At 46.1% G+C, this 23,730-nt stretch overlaps 2 protein-coding genes and 1 long non-coding RNA gene across 9 annotated transcripts in view; 1 reads left to right on the top strand and 2 right to left on the bottom strand.

Moving 5' to 3' along the window:
* Positions 1 to 23,730, top strand: part of HEATR4 (HEAT repeat containing 4) — a 155,331-nt gene that overhangs the window by 99,840 nt on the left and 31,761 nt on the right. For 3 of the 7 annotated variants that reach the window (XR_002957552.2, XM_024449582.2, XM_011536761.4), the window contains exons 1-5: positions 10,823 to 11,703; positions 12,936 to 13,123; positions 14,812 to 14,952; positions 19,741 to 19,944; positions 21,826 to 21,969. Coding sequence is in view for 6 of the 7 variants with exons in the window: in XM_024449582.2 (XP_024305350.1) it covers positions 10,823 to 11,703; positions 12,936 to 13,123; positions 14,812 to 14,952; positions 19,741 to 19,944; positions 21,826 to 21,969 (1,558 nt within the window). In the remaining variant the exon portion in view is untranslated. Of the gene's footprint in view, positions 1 to 3,730; positions 3,810 to 10,750; positions 11,704 to 12,935; positions 13,124 to 14,811; positions 14,953 to 19,740; positions 19,945 to 21,825; positions 21,970 to 23,730 lie in introns of those variants that run through there. The other 4 variants (XM_047431370.1, NM_203309.2, NM_001220484.1 and 1 more) reach the window with 3 other exon arrangements.
* ACOT1 (acyl-CoA thioesterase 1) overlaps positions 1 to 23,730 on the bottom strand; it is a 52,864-nt gene that overhangs the window by 9,822 nt on the left and 19,312 nt on the right. The window contains exons 3-4 of the mRNA XM_017021590.2: positions 15,359 to 15,389; positions 11,575 to 11,605 (exon numbers count right to left, since the gene is read on the bottom strand). Of these exons, the coding sequence (XP_016877079.1) occupies positions 11,575 to 11,605; positions 15,359 to 15,389 (62 nt within the window). The remainder of the gene's footprint in view (positions 1 to 11,574; positions 11,606 to 15,358; positions 15,390 to 23,730) is intronic.
* Positions 2,618 to 3,803, bottom strand: LOC124903344 (uncharacterized). Its single transcript, XR_007064263.1, has 2 exons — positions 3,716 to 3,803; positions 2,618 to 2,910 (listed from the first exon to the last, which is right to left on the bottom strand). It is a non-coding gene; the product is annotated as an uncharacterized LOC124903344 (long non-coding RNA).

Below are 23,730 nucleotides of genomic sequence, written 5' to 3'. Positions count from 1 at the left end.
AAACAAGTGACCCTACCACCTCATCTTCCCAAAGTGCTGGGATTGTAGGCATGCATGGCCTCATTTTAACCTTTTTTTTTTTTTTTTTTTTTTAGAGACAGGGTCTTGCTATGTTGCCCAGACTGGTCTCGAACTCTGGCCTCAAGTGATCATCCTGCCTTGGCCTCTCAAAGCGCTAGAATTACACGCATGAGCTGCTGGAACAAGCCCATTTTAACCATTTTTAAGTGTACAAGTCAGTGACATTAAGTACATTACATTGTTGTACAACTATCACCATTATCCATTTCCAGAACTTTTGGAGTCTTGCTCTGTCCCCCCAGGCTGGAGTGCAGTGGCGCGGTCTCAGCTCACTGAAACCTCCGTCTCCTGGGATCAAGTGATTCTCCTGCCTCAGCCTCCCAGGTAGCTGGGACTACAGGCGCGTACCAGGACACCCAGCTAATTTTTGTATTTTTAGTAGAGATGGGGTTCCACCATGTTGACCAGGCTGGTCTTGAACTTCTGACCTCAGGTGATCTACCCTCCTCGGCCTCCCAAAGTGCTGGGATTACAGGCCTGAGCCACCACGCCTGGCCCATTTCATTCCTTTTTAAGGCTGAATAACATTCTGTTGTATGTATCTTCCACATTTTGTTTATCCATTCATTCACTGATGGACATTTGGGTTCTTTCCACCGTTTGGCTATTGTGAGTATGCTGCTATGAACATGGGTATACAAATATCTGTTAAAGTCCCTGCTTTCAATTCTTTTGGATATGTACCCAGAAGTAGAATTGCTGGATCACATAGTAATTCTATATTTAATTTTTTGAGGAACCTTCAACAGGGTTTTGATTTATTTTATTAGAAACAGGGTCTCCCTCTGTCACTGAGGCTGGGTTGCAGTAGTGCCATCATAGCTCACTGCAGCCTCAAACTCCTGGGCTCAAAGGATCCTCCTGCCTTAGCAGGGTTATAATATTTAATTTTTTTAGTCTTTACTTTTCTTTTCTTTTTATTTATTTATTTATTTTTTTGAGATGGAGTCTTGCTCTGTCACCCAGGCTGGAGTGCAGTGGCCCAATCTTGGCTCACTGAAAGCTCCACCACCTGGGTTCACGCCATTCTCCTGCCTCAGCCTCCAAGTAGCTGGGACTACAGGTGCCCACCACCACACCCGGCTAATTTTTTTGTATGTTTTAGTAGAGATGGGGTTTTACTGTGTTAGCTAGGATGGTTTCAATCTCCTGACCTTGTGATCTGCCCACCTTGGCCTCCCAAAGTGCTAGGATTATGAGCGTGAGCCACTGCACCCGGCCTAGTCTTTACTTTTCATACCAAAAACGTACCCTCTCGCTCTTTTATGGTGGTCCAACCATCTGAGTGCAGCTTGAGCCCAAGTGCTAAAGTCCATATTCAGGTTGGTCAGCAGCAGCAGTCTTGCCTGGAACCAAGAGATGGACCACCTGAATAGCATGAGCTGGGTCAACGAGACAGAGCCTTAGGCCCAGAAATCTTTCCTGCTGTCAGGATAAATTAGTTTGTTTCACAACAGGACTCCTGAAGATCAGAATTTCTGTATCTGTAAGACTTCTATGACTTAAAGAATTTCTGTACGTGTGAAATTATACTACTAGAAATACAAGATTGAAGAGTCTCCTTGTAAAAGCTAGTGTTAATGGCTAATAATCTAGCCAGGATTTGGAGATCAGGGAAAATAGGATTGAACTGTGTGGGCAAAGGAGATTAAGTAGCAGTGGAGGAGCTGAAAGGGGAATGGAAAAGTCAACGGACAGCTTCTACTTTACCATCTGTTTTATCAGCCTGGTAATCTGACGCCTGCCAGAGCTATGTGGTCATGTGTTCCCTGCTTTGCCTCTTTCTCAGGATTTATAAACCCTTGTGGTGGGAGAATATGGAGCCGCATACATCTAGAGGGTTTTTTTATTTTTATTTTTTGAGACTGCACTTCACTCTTGCTGCCCAGGCTGGAGTGCAATGGCCTGATCTTGGCTCACTGCAACCTCTGCTTCCTGGGTCCAGGCGATTCTCCTGCCTCAGCCTCCCAAGTAGCTGGGATTACAGGCATGCGCCACCAGGCCCAGCTGATTTTCTTTTTAAATTTTCTATTTTTAGTAGAGATGGGGTTTCACCATGTTGGTCAGGCTGGTCTCGAACTCCTGACCTCAGGTGATCCGCCACCTCAGCCTCCCAAGTTGCTGGGATTACAGGTGTCAGCCATTGCGCCTGGCTGAGGTTTATTTTTCAAAGAATGACCAAGAGGCTGGGTGTGGTGGCTCACAGTTGCAAATCCCAGCACTTTGGGAGGCCAAGGCAGGTGCATCACTTGAGGTCAGGAGTTCGAGAACAGCCTGGCCAATATGGTGAAACCCCATCTCTACTAAAAGTACAACAATTAGTGGGGCGTGGTGGTGTGGCCTGTAATGGGAGGCTGAGACAGGAGAATTGCTTGAACCTGGGAGGCAGAGGTTGCAGTGAGCCAAGATCACACCACTGCACTCCAGCCTGGGCGACAGAGTGAGACTCCCTCGCAAAAAAAAAAAAAAAGACGAAAAACTCCATGAAACTACCATTCAATAAATAATCAATAAATAAGATGCAATTTCTCACAGCTCAGTTTACAAAGAAGGAAATTTAATAAATGGTTGAAGATATACCCCCGACTGAACCCACAAGTTCTCTGAGTAGACTCATGGAATTCTAAAGAGTTGGTTGCTTGGAGACTGATAGAAACAGCTTTGGAACCTAAGAAACCAAGGAAGGTTTAAGATGCAGAACCTTGCTTCTCTCTGAGGACTGCCTTGTAGGAGGCCATTTGGAAAGTAATTTTGAAACACTGCTCCTTTGCCAGTATCTGAAAGGTGCTGGATGGTGTCAGCTGGAAGATGAGGGGCAACCTGAGGTAGCTGAAAAAACTTTGGATTAGGTGTCAAAAGGGTCAGTACTACTTTAGATACCAAGCAGTATGGTGATCTTAATGATTTCTCTCCTCTCTGGGCCCCAGTTTTGGGATTTATAAAATCAGGACATTAGGCCTGGTGCAGTGGCTCATGCCTGTATTCCTAGCATTTTGGGAGGCCAAGGTGGGAGGATCGTTTGAGTCCAGGAGTTCAAGACCAGCCTGAACAACATGGTGAGACTCTATCTCTACAAAAAAAAAAAAAAAAAAAAAAAAATTTAACCGAGAGTGGTGTGCTATGTGCCTATGCTCCCAGCTATGTGGGAGGATTGCTTGAGCCCAGGAGGTCAAGGCTGCAGTGAGCCATGATCACGCCACTGTACTCCAGGAGAGTGAGACCCTGTCTCAAAAAAACAAACAAACAAAAAACAAATCAAGGCATTAGACCAGGTCATCTTTATAGCAGAGTTTCCAGAGTAATCTCTGGAGACAGCTGTATAGCTGTGTGAGTGCATGGTGAGAAATTAGAAAGTAGAGGGGAAAAAATGAGGGGAACTTTTTGAGGGCAAAAAGGGAGAAAGGGGGACTTGAAACAAGCCAGGTTAAGCAGCTGTTCCCTAATCCCACTCTCCCCACTAACCAGGCTTCCTTCATACACCCCACTGACACCCTTTGGGCTGTGCTTTCTTTAAATGTATTGTGTATTAAACCTGAGAGCTTGTGAAAATGCAGATTTCTAGGCCTCACTTGCAGGCTACTGAATCAGCATTCTGGGAGTAGGACACAAGAGTCTGATGTAAAAGGTTCTTTACCCGTATCTATTCCAGGCGCAGTCCCAGCATTTCTGGAGGCCAAGGCAGGAAGATCGCTTGATTCCAGGAGTTTGAAACCAGCCTGGACAACATAGTAAGACCCTGTCTCTACAAAAAAAGTTTTAAAACATTAGCCAGGCATGGTGGTGCACACCTGTGGTCCCAGCTACTGGGGACGCTGAGGCAGGAGGATTGCTTGAGCCTGGGAGGCAAGGCTGCAGTGAGCCATGACTGTGCCACCGCACTCCAGCTTGGGTGACAGAGTGAGGCCCTGTCTCAAACATAAATAAATAAACAAAAAACTGTATCTAACAAACACCACCCCAGAAGCTGACTGCACACTCTTGGACTCCACCTCAGAACTTCAGAATCCAAATCTGTTGGTAGAGATGAGAGTATTATTTTTTTAAAGCTTTCAGAAGATACTGATACTAAGGCTTATTGCTTTTTAGTCTTTTCTTTCAAGGCAGTTTCCTCTATTTTAATAACAAGGGAGAATGCAAGATATTACTCCTTTTAGCACACGTTACTCAACCTACTTTGACCACTTGTACAGGATAAAGGTATCAGACCAGAGGGTGAGGGTAAGCGACTGATAAGCAAACAGAAAAGTAGAACTAAATTTGGAATCTCTGAGATACTACCCATTTTGAGTTGAGTTCTGTATTCATAAAATATTAGAGGCAGGAGAGGAATTTAGTCCAACTCCTACATTTTCTAGTTGGGGATCTAGGAAGTTCATCAGGTTTTAACTAGAGGCATGTAGCCTAACCCTTCCAACCCCATTCCTCCCCTTCTAGCCCAAGTTCCTAGAAATGCAGATAATGCTGGTGGGTTGCTCATTCCAGGGCCTGGTCTGCAGTTATGCCAGGATTGACTTAATTTTTTTTTTTTTTTTTTTTTTTGAGACAGAGTCTCACTCTGTTGCCCAGGCTGGAGTGCAGTGGCACGAGCTTGGCTCACTGCAACCTCCGACTCCTGGGTTCAAGCAATTCTCCTGTCTTAGCCTCCCAAGTAGCTGGGATTACAGACATGTACCACTGCGCCTGGCTAATTTTTTGTATTTTTAGTAGAGACGGAGTTTCACCATGTTGGTCAAGCTGGTCTTGAACTCCTAACCTCAGATGATCCACACGCCTCAGCCTCCCAAAGTGCTGGGATTACACGCATGATCCACCACGCCTGGCCGATTGACTTAATTTTTTATGCTGTGTACAAAAGGACCCAGGACCTGCCACTCTGCTTTTGGTTCTAGAGGGCTATTTGTTGGAAGTGGGTGCTGCCTCATAATGCTGGTCACGTAATGTGTAAGTTTCAATAATAAGGAGCCTCCAAACTCCATTAATAAGTCCTTTCTTCCTTCTCTAAGCACCCTCTCTTTTAATTGCTGAGTACCCCATAGCCCTAAATTCTTCCCGAAGCGCTCAGTGCATCTAACTGTAGGACCCAGAGACTTGCCTTCTAAGGACAACAGTCCATCCTCTAAACTAATAATAACAATTCCTCACACATATATTTTAGTTTGCAAAGAACTTTCATACATGTTTCTGATTTTGAGCTTCATATCAATCAACACTAAATTAGAACAGGTATCAGACTCAATTTTCAGATTGGGAAACTACAGATTTTAAATTATTTGCCCAAGGTAACATGACTGGGAAGTGCACAATTTGGCCTTACACCTGTCCCGTGACTCCAAGGCAGACAAAGACAAGCCAGAACAAGCCTCTTTTGATCAGACCTAGTAATATTTTGTTCTGTCCCCATTCCTTTTCAAAACAGACCTATCATGTGTTCCCTTCCTTCTTAATAAGCCATCATATCAGATAATAACTATTCCTTAAGTTTTTTTTTTTTTTTTTTTTTTGAGATGAAGTTTCGCTCTTGTCGTCCAGGCTGGAGTCCAGTGGCGCGATCTTGGCTCACTGCAACCTCCGCCTCCCAGCTTCAAGCGATTCTGCCTCAGCCTCCTGAGTAGCTGGGATTACGGATGCCCACCACCACACCCGCTAATTTTTTGTATTTTTAGTAGAGATGGGGCTTCGCCATGTTGGCCAGACTGATTTCAAACTCCTGACCTCAGGTGATCTGCCCACCTCAGCCTCCCAAAGTGTTGGGATTACAGGCATGAGCCACCGCGCATAGCCTCCTTAAGAATTTCTAATAATTGATAATGGTAATATGGTATTCTTTCTGGGATGTTTGCATTGTAACTAAAGATTCTTTACGTCACAGGCTAAAGGGCATTTATCTGGGGACATCCTAAATCACTCCTTTTTTTTTTTTTTTTTTTTTTTTGAGATGGAGTTTTGCCCCTGTTACCCAGGCTGGAGTACGGTGGCAACCTCTGCCTGTCAGGTTCAAGGAACTCTCCTGCCTCAGCCTCCCAAGTAGCTGGGATTACAGGCACCTGCCACCATGACTGGCTAATTTTTTGTATTTGTAGTAGAGATGGGGTTTCGCCATGTTGGCCGGGCTGGTCTCGAACCCCTGATCTCAGGTGATCCACCTGCCTTGGCCTCCCAAAGTGCTAGGATTACAGGCATGAGCCATCCTGCCTGGCCCTGACTGTGTATTTTCATATAACCTGTCTTCAAGCTCACCAATTCTTTCTTCTGCTTGACCAATTCTGCTGTTGAGAGACTCCAATGCATTTTTTAGTCAACTTAATTTTTCAGCTCTAGAAGTGATGCTTGATTTTTTTTCTTTTGCGAAGTGAAAGCAAGTTTATTAGAGAAGTAAAGAAACAAAAGAATGGCTACTCCATAGGCAGAGCAGCCTTTCTGCTTGATTTTTGTTATTTCAATCTCTTTTTGAAATTTCTGATAGAATTCTGAATTTCTTCTCGGTGTTATCTCGAAGTTTGAGCTTCTTCAAGACTACTATTTTGAATTCCCTGTCTGGAAAGGTCACATATCTCTGTCACTCCTGGATTGGTCACTGGTGCCTTATTTAGTCCATTTGGTGAAATAATGTTTTCCTGGATGTTCTTGATGCTTGTGGATGGTCATCAATGTCTGGACATTGAAGAGTTAGGTATTTATTCCAAGTCTTTACAGTCTGGACTTATTTGTACCCATCCTCCTTGAGAAGGCTTTCTATATATTCAAAGGGGATTAAGTGCTGTGACTTAAGCCTACGGTCTCTGCAGCTGATGTATACCAGGGGGTGCCCTAAGCCTATGACCCCTGCAACTGTTGCCAACTCCTGGATACTCCTGTATCTTTGGTGGCCTTGGGTAAGATAAGGGAAAATTCCCCGGTTACCCAGGCAACATCTCTCACTTTGTCTCTTCTCTTTCCCCCAGTCAGGAATCTCTCTCCCCACTGGGCTGTCTGGAGTTGGGGGGAAGGGTGACATGAGCACTCCCATGGCCACCACAGATGGCAGTGCACTGGGTCACACCTGAAGCTTTGCAGACCAGTACAGTATTGGATCCTGCCCAAGGCCTGTGGCCAGAACTGCTTAGCTACCACTGATATTTACTCAAAGCCCAAGGGCACTTTAGTCAGCAGGTGGGGAATCCTGCCAGGATAAATCTGACCCATCAGAGCAGTGGATTCCCTTCTGGCGCAGGGTAGGTCTGGAAATGTAGCTTAGGAGCAAAGGCCTGGAATCAGGAGCCTCAGGATTCTGCCTGGTGCTTTATTTTCCTGTGGCTGAGCTGCTACTCAAAGTCTTCTGGACTTTGTCTTGCAACTTGAGTACTCTTCCCTCTCCTTTCCCCAAGTAGGAGTCTCTCCCTGAGCTGCCCTGTCTGGAGTTGGGGGAGGAATGATGCAGGCACTCCCTTGTTCACCACAGTTGGTGTCACACGCGGTCACACACACCCAAAGTCCACTGCCTCCATGACCAGTGCATCTCCAGGGTTTGCCTAAGGAATATAGTCCTTGTGACCTGACTGTCACTCATATGTATTCAGGGCCCCAGGCCACTTTGGTCAGCTGGTGGCAGAACCAGCTGGGACTCAGGTCTGTCCCACTCTACCTGAGGATTCTCCTCTGGCCCAGAGCTGATCTAAATGTGTCCTCTGTGGGTGCCAGCAGAATTCTGCTCAGTGTAGTGCTGTGCTGTGACAGGGCAGCAGTGAGTTCCAATGCAAAATCCCACACTCCTCTCGCTCCACCACATGCACAGATTCTCTCTCCAAGCTGTTGTGCCAGAGGTGAGGGAGGGGGGCATAGGCGATGCAGGACCGTCTTTCCCACCCTCTTCAGTGCCTCTTCTTGATACGATGTGAAAACCAGGTACTGTGATCACTCACCTGATTTTTTGTTTCTTATGAAGATGCTTTTTTTTTTTTTTTAAATAAGGAGTCTCACTCTGTCACCCAGGCTGGAGCGCAGTGGCACCATTTCGTCTCACTGCAACCTCTGCTTCCCAGGTTCAAGCAATTCTTCTGCCTCAGCCTCCCAAGTAGCTGGGATTATAGGCCCCCACCACCACGCCCAGCTAATTTTTGTATTTTTAGTAGAGATGGGGTTTCTCCATGTTGGCCAGGCCAGTCTTGAACTCTTGACTTCAAGTGATTTGCCCAATTTAGCCTCCCAAAGTTCTGGGATTACTGACGTGAGCCACCGCATCCGGCCTAAAGGTGCTTTCCTTGTGGGGACAGTTGTTCAGTTTGGTGTTCCTGCATGGAGACAATCGCTGGAGGGGTCTGTTTGGCCGTCTTGCTCTAGCCTTTCTATTTTCAGCCAGTGGGAGTAGCCACTGTTTCAGGAGAAAACATCATCTTGTGACCACCCTCTTTCTCTTAACTTGCCTTCATGAAGACGTTGCCTTCATGGTTGTGAAGAGATGAAGCAATTACATTTAGCCTTATGTGCAAAAAGTCCTGGAGTGATAGCATATTAATCATGTGTCACGTAATTTGAGGGAGGTTATTGATTCTGGCCTAATGGCATCTAGATGAAAGTTGAGCCTTTGCTGAGTGCTGTAGCTCACACCTGTAATCCCAACGCTTTGAGAAGCCAAGGCAGGCAGATTGTTGACCCCAGGAGTTTGAGACCAGCCTGGGCAACATAGTGAGACCCCATCTCTATTAAAAATAAAAAACAGATAGCTGGGTGTGGTGGCGCATGCACCTGTAGTCCCAGCTACTTGGGAGGCTGAAGTAGGAGGATTACTTGGGCCCAGGAGGTTGAGGCTGCAGTGAGCTATGATCGTGCCAGTGCTGCACTCCAGCCTGGGCGACAGAACAAGACCCTGTCTCAAAAAAACAAAACAAAAGAAAAAAAACACACAAAAAAGAACTTGCCCTTAACAGAAAGAAATACAATACGGTCACTTTTACACATGGAAGACAGTAAGAGAAATCATGCCCTAGGGAGAGAGGCTATGTGCTGGGTGTTAAGGAGTAAAGAGAAACAAGTCAGATCTGGTCTGCATGGGCACCTTGGACACCGGGCAGGAGTTGACACTAGCAGGATAGAAACATATGGAATAATGGTCTCTCCTTCATCCTTACACATAAGGAGGCCTACCTGTTCCTTGGAGAGGCAAGGCCAACAAAGTGAGTGGTAGGGAGTGGTGCTTGGGCCAAGGCCAGTGTGGCACGGAGGTTAAGTGCTCCAGAGTTGTGATCTAGTAGGCTAGATTTGAAACCTGACTCCTCTGCTTACGGGCTATGTGATCTGAAGCAATTTACCTACCTCTCTGAACCTCAGCTTCTTAAAATAGGAAAGGAAGATCATAATATCTTCCCTACGTAAAATCCTCAGCAAGGTTATTCCAAAACTATCATTATTAGGCCAAGGGAATGCTTCAAAAGGAAAACAAAACAAAACTAAACTAACATTAAATCTAAGCATTTGTTATCTACAGTGTTTGCCATGCTAGCTAAAATCTGGAAACAACCCATCCAATAATTCATGAAGAGTCAAAACCATTTACCTATTTGATAAAATACGTTACAGCTATAATATATATATATATATATATATATATTTTTTTTTTTTTTTTTTGAGACGGAGTTTTGCTCTTGTTGCCCAGGCTGGTGTGCAATGGCATGATCTTGGCTCACTGCAATCTCCCCCACCCTGGGTTCAAGCAATTCTCCTGCCTCAATCTCCCAAGTAGCTGGGATTACAGGCACATGCCACCGCGCCTGGCTAATTTTTTGTATTTTTAGTAGAGATGGGATTTCACCATGTTGGCCAGGCTGGTCTCAAACTCCAGACCTCAGGTGACCCACCCACCTCGGCCTCCCAAAGTGCTGGGATTACAGGCGTGAGCCACTGCGCCCGGCCTACAGCTATTAAATATTTTAACAATAAAAACTATGTAGCAATAGGTGTGCTGGATGACTCTGAAAGACAGAAGAAATGGGAGACATGGTCACTGGGCAATGGAATTAGAGTCTCAAATATTTAACAATGCGAGGTATCATAGGATTAACAGTTAAAGTAAGTGGTACAGACCAGGAGGAATTTATAAACTTGGGTATGACCTGGTGGCCTGGATAGGTCAAGAAAGAGTTATGGAGCAGCACAAATTGAGCTGGGCCTGGAAATTGGATAGAATTTGTGTCAAGTACGAAAGGCCATTTCATGTAGAGGACACAGAAGGAAGCTTCATTATGTGGAGAGAGGATACTCAGAGAACAGCCAGGAGACTGGACTGGCTCAAGCAGAGGTTACATGCCAGGACAAAGTCATAAACTGAGGCCAAACTCATGGAGAACCCTGAATGCCATGCTGAATAGTCTGAACTTTACACTATAAGCCTTTTGAATGAAAGAAAGCAACATTTAAAGACAAACTGGAAGCATGGGATACTGCTGAAAAGCAGTCATCCCTCACACGGAGATGAGGGTCTGAGCTTTGGGAACAAGTATAAGAACCAAAAACACGGGTCTGATACATGAAATATTTAGGATGTTGCACCATTTTCTTCTTTTGTTCTTCTAACTCACATGGCTCTTCCCCACCCCCTTTCCATCTGTTTTTCAAGTTATTCTCTTTCTGAACTGCTATGGGCTACCAATTTCTGCTGCTCTAGAGTTCTCATCAGTTCCTCCCATTCCCTTAACAGGTGCCAGGTCTCATCTCCAGGCCTTTCCTCTAGGCCAGGCAGTGTGGAAGGAAGCATTTGCTGGGACGCGGTATGACCAGGACCCAGAAGGGAAAGACCTTTCTCCCCCATTGCTTCTATCAGTCACTGCCCCCACGACTGGGATGGGGCATGATTTTAAACTACTCAAAATTGAAAGGCAAGGAGGAGTGTGCCTCTGTCTCCAGTGTGCCTATGGTCTTCTTCAGCTCACAGTACCGTCTACACCGCAAGAGCCAATATTTGAAAATGGCTGCTGCAAACCTTACCTTCTCTCAGGAGGTGGTGTGGCAGCGAGGCCTGCCCAGCATTCCTTATAGCCAGTACAGCTTTGACCACCTCTACAATACCAATGACATCATCCATACTCCCCAGATCAGGAAGGCCCGGCCTCAGAAACCTGTTAGCTTCAAGTTCCTGGGTTCCTCAAGTCCCTTAACAGGAGACACCTCCCTGGCTGTGAAGACAGAAAGCTCTGCCAATCCCGAAAAGAAGCTGAAGAAATCAAAGCCAGCCAGCACCGTCCGGGAAGCACCCCGCCCTCTCATCCATCATCCCTGCATGCATCCAGATATGCTGGGTCGGCCACCTTCTCTAGATGTGAACCTGGAGGAAAGAGAAGCCTGGCTTCTGCCTCCTGAGAAGGAGGCCAGAGCGTGGGAGGCCACTGTGCTGGAAAAGCTGAACGAGCGCACAGCCCGATGGATCCAGAGCAAGCGTCCTCGAAGGCCTGGGGCATCCCCCAACAAGTGGCAGAGCTTCCTGCGCCAGCAGTACGACTGGAGTCACATTCGGGATGAGCTTACCTCTGCCAGTGACCTGGAGCTCCTGAAACAGCTGGAGGCAGAAGAGACAGCAGAGTTTGAGGATCAAAGTGTCATCCTGCCCCCACAGGAAAAGAAGAAGCCAGAACTGCTGCTTCCCGTTTACTACAGGTATACTGGCCAGGGCCTCAAGTGCACCTTTGATAATCCCTGACTCCCCTTTAGGGACTCCCAGGTGGACTCACACTCCCGATTTCAGAATGCACTCTCCCATCAACTTCATGTTCTCCACCACCGGCCTGCTCTCTGAGAGCTCTGCAAAGTAAGGTTTCTCAATTTGCACTGCTGACATTCTGGGTTGGATAATTTTTGTTGTGGGAGCTGCCCTGTTCATTATGGGATGCAAGCAGCATCCCTGGCTCATACCCACCAGAGCACAAACTCCTAGCTGTGAAAACCAAAGATGTCTCAGACACTGCCAGATGTCTCCAAGAGGAACAAAGTCATTCCCAGCTGGGAACCACTGCTCTTAAAGGGATTGGTTCTCAACCTTCTCCAGCAGACTTTGCCATCAGACTGCTGGTGTAGTTACCAACCAGGTGCTCCCAGAAATGTATCCTTGGTGGAGTGAGGAAGGCAGGAACCTCATAGCACCGAGGTTTGGTCCTGCCTTACTCTGAATAAGGAACCAGTGTGTCACTGACTCAAAAACTGACTAGCTGCAGGACAGAGAACCAGACAACCTGAGAGAAGAAGATGACTACATGTTTCTTAGATTGCTTCTATCTCATTTATAGCTAGAGGGAAGACTGGAGCTATTACACTATCCCTGATTTCCAAGAGTGAACTAAAAATCAGTGGAAATCCATTTATTTATTCATTTATTGGACAAATATAAATTATGTTCTTGCTACTTTCCAGGCACTCTGCAAAGTGCTGGGAATACAATGTAAAAGCAACAGACACAGATATGTACCTTTAAGGAGCTTACAGCCTGTCCACCACCAGGTGGATGGACATTAAATAACCACACACAGAATAGACAGAGTGAGATGACGAAGGAGGTGGGATCCCTTCCCCAAGGCCATGCCGCCTCTAAGAGTACGAATGTTAAAAAAGGGTTATGCTGGAGCACCGCCACTCTGCCCTGCTGCTTGGTGGCTGCAGAAGGCATGGATCCTTTAGTAGCCAGGCAGGACAGCTGTAGACAGGCCCTTCTGGCAGCTCCACATTCAACTGGCACCATGGGGACAAGGCTAAAAGTTAAACATTGGTGTTCTGCAATGCTCACGTGTATAGGAGCTGAGCTTAAAGAGGAAAGGGAACGAGCTGTGGATTTAATGGAAAGGGGGATCCACCTCCTACTCTTTCCCCCTTTTCCCTCCTTTCTCACCCCTGCCAAGATTGCCCAGTTACTTCCAACAAGCAGAGACAGTTGAGATCATGCCTGGCAACAAGAGCACTGAGGATATCCATGAAAAGACGAGCCTCTCCCAGCCCCAAACCCAGAGCTACTTTCGCCAGGTGACTCCCCGAGCTGGAAAGTTTGCCTACTCCACAGACAACACCTTTGAACAGGAGATTTACTTTGGTAATAGAGCTGGGCCCCTGTGGTAGGGGCACACGGGGACATGGGCCAGGAAGGTGGAAGATTGCTGGGGGCTGGAAACAGTTGTGGGTATGGACAAGAGGCCCTGGATGACCCAGGTTTTCATGTTCATGACCCAGCACCCACACTAGCACAGGAGTTGGGTCGGGGAGTGATAACTAATAGGGAGGGAACTGCTCTCTCTCCCCGCTTTCTCTATCCCTCTATCTTACTAAAGAGGCAATGAAGGGTGGAACTGTAAAGTTGGCAAGACTTTGGGAACAATCCATCTCTTCTCTATCTACCCTTCTCCCTTCTCTCACTTCGAGATATTCTCCCACTTCGAGATATTCTCCCACCAAGGTGCTATGTTGGAAAAAATCAGGGCTTTGGAGTCAGGCACATTTGGGTTTAAATCCTGGCTCAGTATTTTTTTAGTAACCTTCAGTAAATTATATAATTCCTCTGAGCCACAAGTACCTTATTTGTGAAGTGATGTTAACAAAAATGCACTTTGAGTAGAGTAGATGAGAAAGCATCTGTAATGCTTCTTGCTCAATGTCTGTTTAAGGTGTTCAGTAAATGTTTGCCACCTTCCCTGTCCCTACTGCTGTCCCTTAGATGCCTGGGCTTCCAGGATACTCAATCTAGGTCTTCGTGTTCCAAGCTGTTTCTTCTTCCCAAGCCCCATCTTGTTCCTAAACTGCTGCAGCTGAAAGTCTTCTCAAAGTGTTTAACAAAATTACTCTAAGTATTCATGACTGATGAGATTAATTAGGTGCCTCTTTTTTAGTATCTAGCTTTTTATAAGGGATAAGGCCTCTAAGTGGTTACATAGGTTCTTTTCTTTTGTTTTCTTTTCTATTGAGACGGAGTCTTGCTCTGTCGCCAGGCTGGAGTGCAGTGACACAATCTTGGCTCACTGCAACCTCTGCCTCCACCTCCCAAATAGCTGGGATTATAGGCGCGCATCACCACGCCCAGCTAATTTTTGTATTTCTAGTAGAGACAGGGTTTCACCATGTTGGCCAGGATGGTCACAATCTCTTGACCTTGTGATCCGCCCTCCTTAGCCTCCCAAAGTGCTGGGATTACAGGCGTGAGCCATGGTGCCCAGCCGGTTCTTTTCTTATTTTTGAAATGGTTTCACTCCCATTGCCTAGGCTGGAGTGCAGTGGTGCTATCTTCACTGCAACCTCCACCTCCCAGGCTCAACTGATTCTCCTGCCTCAGCCTCCCGAGTAGCTGTACCCAGCTAATTTTTGTATTTTTTGTAGAGACGGGGGTCTTACAGTGTTGCCCAGGCTGGTCTCGAACTCCTGATGATGTGATCCACCCACCTCGGCCTCCCAAAGTGCTGAGATTACAGGTGTGAGCCACCACACCCGGCCATAGGTTCTGCCTTAGGAAGGAAATCACCATCCTTGGCTCCCAGGCCTCTAATGAGGTGACTAGCTATGACATTTCCTTTTTCTTTTTTTTTTCCCCCACAGACACTATAGTGATTTATCACTGTGATATTTCTAAGCAATGGTCACCTTCAAGGGATGCCCCAGAGTATGGCAGTCATGGATCCTAGGGGCTTAGATTAGGGCAAAAGGAAGTTGGGTCTGATCCTGGTGATTAGGAACCCAGGGAGAAAGGAAATAGGGAGGTTATAGGGGACTCATTGTTTCTTTGTCTGTTCACAGATGAAGTCCAGATCATCCACCAGATTGGTGCAAAGAGAGACCAGATTGTCCTGGAAAACCTAAATCGGTACAACAAGCAGCTATCTAAGGTCTTCCCTGAAACTCCAGAAAAGTGGAGTGCCCAGGCAATTCCTGAAGCATGTAAGCAGGAAGCTAACAGGGAAGGCAGGGGTTAATAACGGGAATGTGGCTACTTCCCATCATTACCCACTATTCATGTGCTAGAGCTCCCAGTTCATGGGCTGAAGCACCATTAGCATCTAGGCAATCCCCTTTCTACGTACTAAAAATAATCTCACAAAATTATAAAATACTAACTATAACTAGGAAGAGCCTCACAGGAACATACAATCACTTGAGATCTGATATAACTTAGGTATAACCAAGTGGTTTAGGGCCACTAGTTACCAATAAGGCAGCTCCTATCTCAATGCTAACAGGGAAAGTGCACCTAACAGGGAAAGTGCATCAAACTCCTGACCCAGCATTCTGCCCTTTTCCCTTGGGCTGGCTCTACCCTCCCACTCCACACTCAGCCCACCCATACCTGAACTTTCACAAGTTCATCATTCTTCACTCTGTAAGACAAAGAGGGAAAGAAGGTGACCAAGAAATTAGCTTATGAAACAAAATGTGCACATCTTCCACAAGACTCTATTTCCCATGACTCTTTGTAGGATTACTGTTCAGATGGGCCCAGTGGTGTGCAGAAACTAACAGCAGTTGTCACCCATTCCTTTTTTTTTTTTTTCTTTTTTTGGAGACAGAGTCTTGCTCTGTCACCCAGGCTGGAGTGCAGTGGCGTGATCTCTGCTCACTGCAACCTCCATCTTCCTGGTTCAAGCAATTCCCCTGCCTCAGCCTCCAGGGTAGCTGGAATCACAGGTGCATGCCTCCACACCTGGCTGACAGGGTTGCCTGGCCTGCTAGTTGTGCCTTTGCATCCACTTGGCAAGAAGTCCTTCCCTGGGCTCAGTCTATCCTTGGAGGCACAGGCACATTCTGTGCCTGCTGTGGAGGCACCCGCCAGACAGCTGTGGACAGCCACAGGATTTCCACACAACCTGGCTTTGTTTTTGAGATAAAGTCTCGCTCTGTCGCCCAGGCTGGAGTGCGGTGGCGTGATCTCGGCTCACTGCAACCTCCGCCTCCTGGGTTCAAGTGATTCTCCTGCCTCTGCCTCACGAGTAGCTGGGACTACAGGTGCGCGCCACCACACCCAGCTAATTTTTGTATTTTTAGTAGAGACGGGGTTCACCATGTTGGCCAGGATGGTCTTGATCTCTTGACCTCGTGATCTGTCCACCTCGGCCTCCCAAAGTGCTGGGATTACAGGCGTGAGCCACCGTGTCCAGCCTCTTTTTCTTTTCTCCTTCCTCCCTTCCTTTTTTTCCTTCCTTTCCTTCTCCCTTTCCTTCCTTCATGTCTCCCTTTCCTCTCTTCCCCCTTCCCCTCCCCTTCCCTCTCTCTCTTTTCTTCTTCTTTTTTTTTTTTTTTTGACAGGGTCTCACTCTGTTTCCCAGGCTGAGCACAGTGGTACAATCATGGCTCACTGCAGCCTTTACCTTCCTGAGCTCAAGCAATCCTTCCACCTCACTCTCCCGAGTAGCTGGAACTACAGGTGCACACCACTATACCCAGCTAATTTTTGTAAAGACAAGGTCTTGCTGTGTTGCCCAGGCTGGTCTCAAACTTCTGGGCTCAAGTGATGCACCCTCTTCAGACTCCCAAAGTGTTGGAACTACAGGCATGAGCCACTCTCCCAGCCAGAGGATTCTTTTTCAATAACAGCTTTATTGAGCTTGAATTTACATACTATAAAATTAATCCTGTTAAACCATACAATTTGATGAGGCAGGCAGATCGCTTGAGCCTAGCAGTTTCAGACTAGTCTAGGCAACAAGGTGAGACCCCGTCTCTACAAAAAAATACAAAACTTAGTTGGGCATGGTGGCACGCACCTGGAGTCCCAGCCACTCGCGAGGCTGATGCAGGAGGATCAGGGCCACAGGTGTGCACCCTACACTCAGCTAATTTTTAACTTTTTTAGAGATAGGGTCTCACTATGTTGCCCAGACTGGTCTCGAACTCCTGGCCACAAGGGGTCCTCCCACCTTAGCCTCCCAAACAAAGTGCTGGGATTATAGGCATGAGCCACTGTACCCTGCCAAGAGTCATTACTTTGTGTGCTCCCTTTAGATCGGCAGTCCTCAACCTTTTTGGCACCAGGGACCGGTTTCGTGGAAGATAATTTTTCCACAGACCAGCGGGGTGGGGATGGTTTGAGGATGAAATGGTTCCACCTCAGATCATCAGGCATTAGATTATCATAAAGGGTGCGCAGCCTAGACCCCTCACATGTGCAGTTCACAGTAAGGTTCATGCTACGTGACTCTAATGCCACTGCTGATCTGACAGGAGGCAGAGCTCACTGGTAATGCTTGCCCACCCACCACTCACATCCTGTTGTGGTGGCCCGGTTCCTAACAGGCCATGAACTGGTACAGGCCCATGGCCTGGGGGTTAGGGACCCCAGCTTTAGATGACTGTTGATGTGGAAGATGGCTAGTGGATGTGTTTCTATCCAGCTATAACCCAAAGGACTGGAACCAAAGTAAAAGTTGGCAGTTGTATTTTTTATTCCTATGAGGTTAAATATCAGAGATCTAAGACTTGCTCACCGCAAATCCATTTTAACTCCTTGAGCAGAGGGATATAGGAGAAATGGGGTTAATTCAGCTACTTCTCATCTCTTCAGGAGGGATTTCAAATCGCCTGAGAGAAGTCGGGGAGCGTCACATGGCAAAGTGTGAGCTGGCCTGTCAGAGGTGGTTCCACAGCTCCTAGTTGCACACACCCTACCCCAGAAAGGAGGGAGGCCTCAGCAGAGTGGCTGAGTCCCCCAGCACGTCCAAGCTGGTGGGGACCATTTGGAGGAGATGCATTGTATGGGCATCTTTGCTAAACTGCCCTGGAGTCTCACAGGACTCTTTTTTTTTTTTTTTTTTTTTTTTTTGATGACTGTTGATGTGGAAGATGGCTAGTGGATGTGTTTCTATCCAGCTATAACCCAAAGGACTGGAACCAAAGTAAAAGTTGGCAGTTGTATTTTTTATTCCTATGAGGTTAAATATCAGAGATCTAAGACTTGCTCACCGCAAATCCATTTTAACTCCTTGAGCAGAGGGATATAGGAGAAATGGGGTTAATTCAGCTACTTCTCATCTCTTCAGGAGGGATTTCAAATCGCCTGAGAGAAGTCGGGGAGCGTCACATGGCAAAGTGTGAGCTGGCCTGTCAGAGGTGGTTCCACAGCTCCTAGTTGCACACACCCTACCCCAGAAAGGAGGGAGGCCTCAGCAGAGTGGCTGAGTCCCCCAGCACGTCCAAGCTGGTGGGGACCATTTGGAGGAGATGCATTGTATGGGCATCTTTGCTAAACTGCCCTGGAGTCTCACAGGACTCTTTTTTTTTTTTTTTTTTTTTTTTTTTGAGATGGAGTCTCGCTTTGTCACCCAGGTTGGAGCGCGATCTCAGCTCACTACAACCTCCGCCTCCCCAGTTCAAGTGATTCTTCTGCTTCAGCATCCCGAGTAGCTGGGATTACAGGCGCCCACCACCACGCCTAGCAAATTTTTGTATTTTTAGTAGAGACAGGGTTTCACCATGTTGGTCAGGCTGGTCTCGAACTTGTGACCTCAAGTGATCCACCCGCTTTGGCCTCCCAAAGTGCTGGGATTACAGGCATGAGCCACTGCACCCCGCCTCACAGGACTCTTTTTACATTAGAAGAAAGAAATGTTATGTCTTCCTTGCTCAAAGGAAAGAATTGATTCAGAGCAAATCTAAAGGTGTTAAGAGTCAGAATGAAATCTTGGAAAAAAACAGAAATGGCTGATAGTGACTGATTAGAACATGAGACTAATAGGCAGTGTGAATAATGAATTTAGTACATCTGGAAATGTTTTTATCATTTTTCCCTTCCCCTTCTCCATAGAGCTTTTTTTCTGAGAAAGAGGCTTTCTAAATTTGACACCATGAAAAACATTAAGTTCAGAAAATATAACTATAGTTTTTTTTTTGTTTTTTTTTTTTGAGAACGGAGTCTCACTCTGTCGTCCAGGCTGGAATGCAGTGGTGCAATCTCAGCTCACTGCAACCTCCGCCTCTCAGGTTCAAGTGATTCTCCTGCCTCAGCCTCTCAAGTAGCTGAGACTACAAGCACATGCCACCATGCCCGGCCAATTTTTTGTATTTTAGTAGAGACGGGGTTTTCACCGTGTTAGCCAGGATGGTCTCGATCTCCTGACCTCGTGATCTGCTCGCCTCGGCCTCCCAAAGTACTGGGATTACAGGCAAAAGCCACCGTACCCGGCCAACTATAGCTTTTCTAACTATATCTAATATTTACGGCTTCTTCTGTTCTCAAATTTCTGTTGTCTTGAGGAAAAACTCAGAGATGTTAAAATCTTTAAAATTTCACAGCTTATAGCACTATTATTCTCCCCAAATTAAAAACATTAAAAGGAAAACTTAATACTTTAGAAATAATGGCCAATGACACTAAATTGCAACGTATCAAATATTATGAGCAAATCTCGTTACATATAAACATATTTATGTTCCTAAAGATTTAGGTTCCTAAAGATAACCTTTAAACTTATAGAAAGGTTTGTAGATATCTCAATTTCCCCCCACAAATCTCTCACCCCCATCATCATCATGGCTTACCATGTCTAGTCAGGACTTTCCATAATTCCCTGTGTACATGTACTCAGTTCCCCATATAATCATGGGGAAATTCACTCTTGAGGGTTTTGTTTTGCTTTGGTATTAGTCAGGAATAGGAATGGGATGCAAGCTGGGGCCACTGTGTGGCAGGGCCTAAGGCAGTGGGGTGAAAAGACCTCACACTGCCACGTTGCACAGCTTACAGACCTGTGCAAGGAGCCCTGCGCTGGACTGCTTTGCCCACCCCCGCCAAGGATATGCTGCTGCAGGTGGGTGAGAAGGATGTGCCTATTAAGACCAGGAGATTGAAGAAGCAGGCAAAATCACTGCAGGAGGATGTGACCTGGGAACTGGTGGTCCTGCGGAGGATGCTGAAGGAATGGAAGACTGCCTGGGCTCTGAGTGAGTGAAGGGAGGTCCTGTGATACTGTACGTTTGTGAGAAGTGGTTCTCATCTGGGACTAGGCTTTCTCAGTCTTTGAAAAATCCATCCCTCCTTTGTGAAATGTAAAAATCTGGTTGCCTCATTAAGGCTAGACAAGAGCCTTTCACACATTGGGTGTTAGATGAACTTCAGTTAACATATATCTGGGTGCTTTTTGCATGGATGGGTATTACTTCAGTAATTTGTGGAAACTCATTATTACACTGCAGACTCTTCAGAGGCAGAGACCATTTTTTTTTTTTTTTTTTTTTTTTTTTTTGGAGACGTAGTTTCGCTCTTGTTGCCTTGGCTGGAGTGCAACGGTGGGATCTCAGCTTACTGCAACCTCTGCTTCCTGGTTTCAAGTAATTCTCCTGCCTCAGCCTCCTGAGTAGCTAGGATTACAGGCACCCGCCACCACACTTGGTTAACTTTTTGTATCTTTGGTAGAGATGGGGTTTCACCATGTTGGCCAGAGTGGTCTCAAACTCCTGACCTCAGGTGATCTGCCCGCCTTGGCCACCGCGCCAGCCCTTTTTTCTTTTTCTGAGATGGAATTTCACTCTGTTGCCCAGGCCGGAGTGCCATGGCACTTGATTTGGGCTCACTGCAACCTCTACCTCCCAGGTTCAAGCGATTCTCCTGCCTCAGCCTCCCAAGTAGCTGGGACTATAGGCATGTGCCATGATGTCTGGCTAATTTTTGTGTTTTTAGTAGAGACACGGTTTCACCATGTTGGCCAGGCTGGTCTCGAACTCCTGACTTCAGGTGATCTCCCCGCCTTGGCCTCCCAAAGTGCTGGGATTACAAGCATAAGCCACTGCACCCAGGCGACCCTATCTTATTGTTTTCCAAACTTTATGCTCAGCAAATGATGTATGAAGGGAAGAACAAAATATGCTGTCCAACCATTGTCCATGTCATAGTTGACTATGGTATCAGCAACCCCTCTCCAAAATTCATTCGTAGAGTTGGGGCTATCCTATACCTACTTTGCCTTCAAAGATAGGAGAGTAGAAGTCTGAGTGCCTGGGACAAAGTAATGGCCTGGCAAGGACTGTTGAAAGCTATGGTATTTGAGAACTCAATAGCTGCTGGCTTTCAGAACATGATAGACAAGCTTAGTTAGTGCAGGAAAAAGAGAGGCAATCCATTAGGTAAACTGGATCAGATAAACAATAACAAAAAAGACTGAAGGAAACACCTACAGATAATAGGAGCTTTGAAATAAAAGTCTGATACCTGCCAAAAGAGTATTTAGCAACTAAAATGAGGAAGATGTTGAAAGCCAAATGGAAGTGCCCTCAAAGACAAAGAACCTAATGAAAACCACAATAGTTAACATTTATTGAACCTTCATTATCTTGCCAGGCATTTTGCTAAACACTTTGTCTAGTTAACTCATTTAACAGTAAGAATAACTCAATATGTGGGTTCTAGTATTATGCCTGTATTACAAATAAGAAATCTCAGGCTCAGGGTTAAGTAACTTATCCACAGTCACACAGCTAATAACTGTGATCCCAAACCAGGTATGTCTGAAAACAAAGTACTCTTAACTACTTTGTTTTATTGTCACTTTTATTTCCCAGATGGTTACAACGAAAAGTGATTTAAAGAAAGAGAGATAGATACGATGGGGTTGGGAGAAGTTTTGTCTGGGAACTTACTTGTGAGGGTACATGGATCATCAGAGAAATAACTCCCTAAAGACCCCATCTCTGGGCCCTTTATTCTTCTGAGCTAATGTTTTGCTTGAATTATTCTGGGTGAAGGGCAGACTTCTTGTCACCTGCCTGCAGCACAATATCTAACCCTAACCAGGTGGTTCTCTTTTCATTTCCCTCACTGCGGCTCAGTCATAGAGTGGCACCATGAGACAGTAGAGAACCTGCTTCAGAGCTTGGGAGACCTGCATGATGACGTTCGGATCAAAGCTATCACCACATGTGCCACAGCTGCTTTGGAACGGCCCCGGATTGCCACCAGCCAGAGAGACTCAGGTGAGAGCCAAAGCTGAACTGCTTGAGAACATAAGCAACTCATAAAGCCATGGAACATCTGAACTGGTAGGGACCCAGGGCTTATCTGAGATCATTTTACAAATGTGGAAACCAAGACTTAGAGACTGGCCTATATATACATGCTTATCAGCAATAGAGACGAGATTAAAATTCCAGACTTCTAGTCCAGTAATTTTTGAACTACATTTCATCACCTTTTGTTTGCTCAGTGGCCTGCAGAGAAGTTAACATTTCCCACCTTGAAGATCCCATTCTTTTTTGTTTTTGTTTTTGGTAGAGACTGTGTCTTGCTATGTTGACCAGGCTAGTCTTGAACTCCTGGCCTCAAGTAATCCTCCCACCTTAACCTCCCAAACTGCTGGGATTACAGGCGTGAGCCACTGTGCCCAGCCAAGAGCCCATTCTTTTTTATTTTATTTTATTTATTTATTTATTTATTTATTTATTTATTTATTTATTTATTTTTGAGACAGAGTCTTGCTCTGTCACCCAGGCTGGAGTGCAGTGGCGCGATCTCTGCTCACTGCAACCTCCACCTCCCAGGTTCAAGCAATTCTCCTGCCCTAGTCTCCCGAGTAGCTGGGACTACATACAGGCGTGTGCCACCATGCCCAGCTCATTTTTTTGTATTTTTAGTAGAGATGGGGTTTCACCATGTTGGCCAGGCTGGTCTTGAACTCCTGACCTCAAGTGATCCACCCACCTCAGCCTCCCAAAGTGCTGGGATTACAGGCATGAGCCACCGCACCTGACAAAATCTTAAAATATGATTCACGGGCTTAGCTGTGCCACTCCTTGGGCAGTCAGCTAACCTCTCTGAGCTTCAAATTACCTATCTATAAAATGAGACTAGTGGTAGACAAAGGGATAACAAACCTTTCCCCTTCCTACTTGAGAATTTGAACTTCAGTTAAATGCCCACCTGTTCCCCTAAACACCTGATAAGAACTATCTTTATAGGCAACATTGGTTATGATATAAATCCTGTTTGATAAATTACATTGGGACTGAGAAGAGCTATAAGTGAAATATAAATACTTGATAGGGACACCATAGTTTGGGCCTCCCTGGATACTGTAACTTATAACAGGCAGGCCCTTTGTGGACCCTAGAATTGTGTCTATGGAGTTTTTATAAGAGATATTAGTTCCTGTAAAGCATAAATTCACCCAGTGAATAAACAACATGCTCCTGTGCTGTCCCCAAGACTCTGTGGAATGCTCAAGACAGCCTCAAGAACTGCAGCCAAAGCCAGGTGTGGTGGCTCACACTTGTAATTCCAGCACTTTGGAAGGCCAAGGCAGGTGGATCACCTGAAGTCAAGGGTTCAAGACCAGCCTGGCCAACATGGTGAAACCTCATCTCTACCAAAAATACAAAAATTAGCCAGGCGTGGTGACAGGTGCCTGTAGTCCCAGATACTCGGAAGGCTGAGGCAGAAGAATCGCCTGAACCCAGGAAGCAGAAGTTGCAGTGAGCCAAGATTGTGCCATTGTACTCCAGCCTGGGCAACAGAGCAAAAACTCTATCTCAAAAAAAAAACAAAAACAAAAACAAAAAAACTCCAGCCAACAGGGATGCCTGATGCTGCTGCCCTGTTGACAAACTATGCTCCTGTCCCATATTCTTCTGGTGCCATGCATGGCCCATGACAGTCTTATGAACCTTACTGTTTAGTTGAACCAAAAAAGACTCCCTAGTGAGCTCTACAATGATACCTACCTTGCCTAATTCAACCAA

Source organism: Homo sapiens, chromosome 14 (assembly GCF_000001405.40).
Source record: "Homo sapiens chromosome 14, GRCh38.p14 Primary Assembly".
NCBI classification, from domain to species: domain Eukaryota; kingdom Metazoa; phylum Chordata; class Mammalia; order Primates; family Hominidae; genus Homo; species Homo sapiens.
This window is presented reverse-complemented; position numbering and strand designations above follow the sequence as displayed.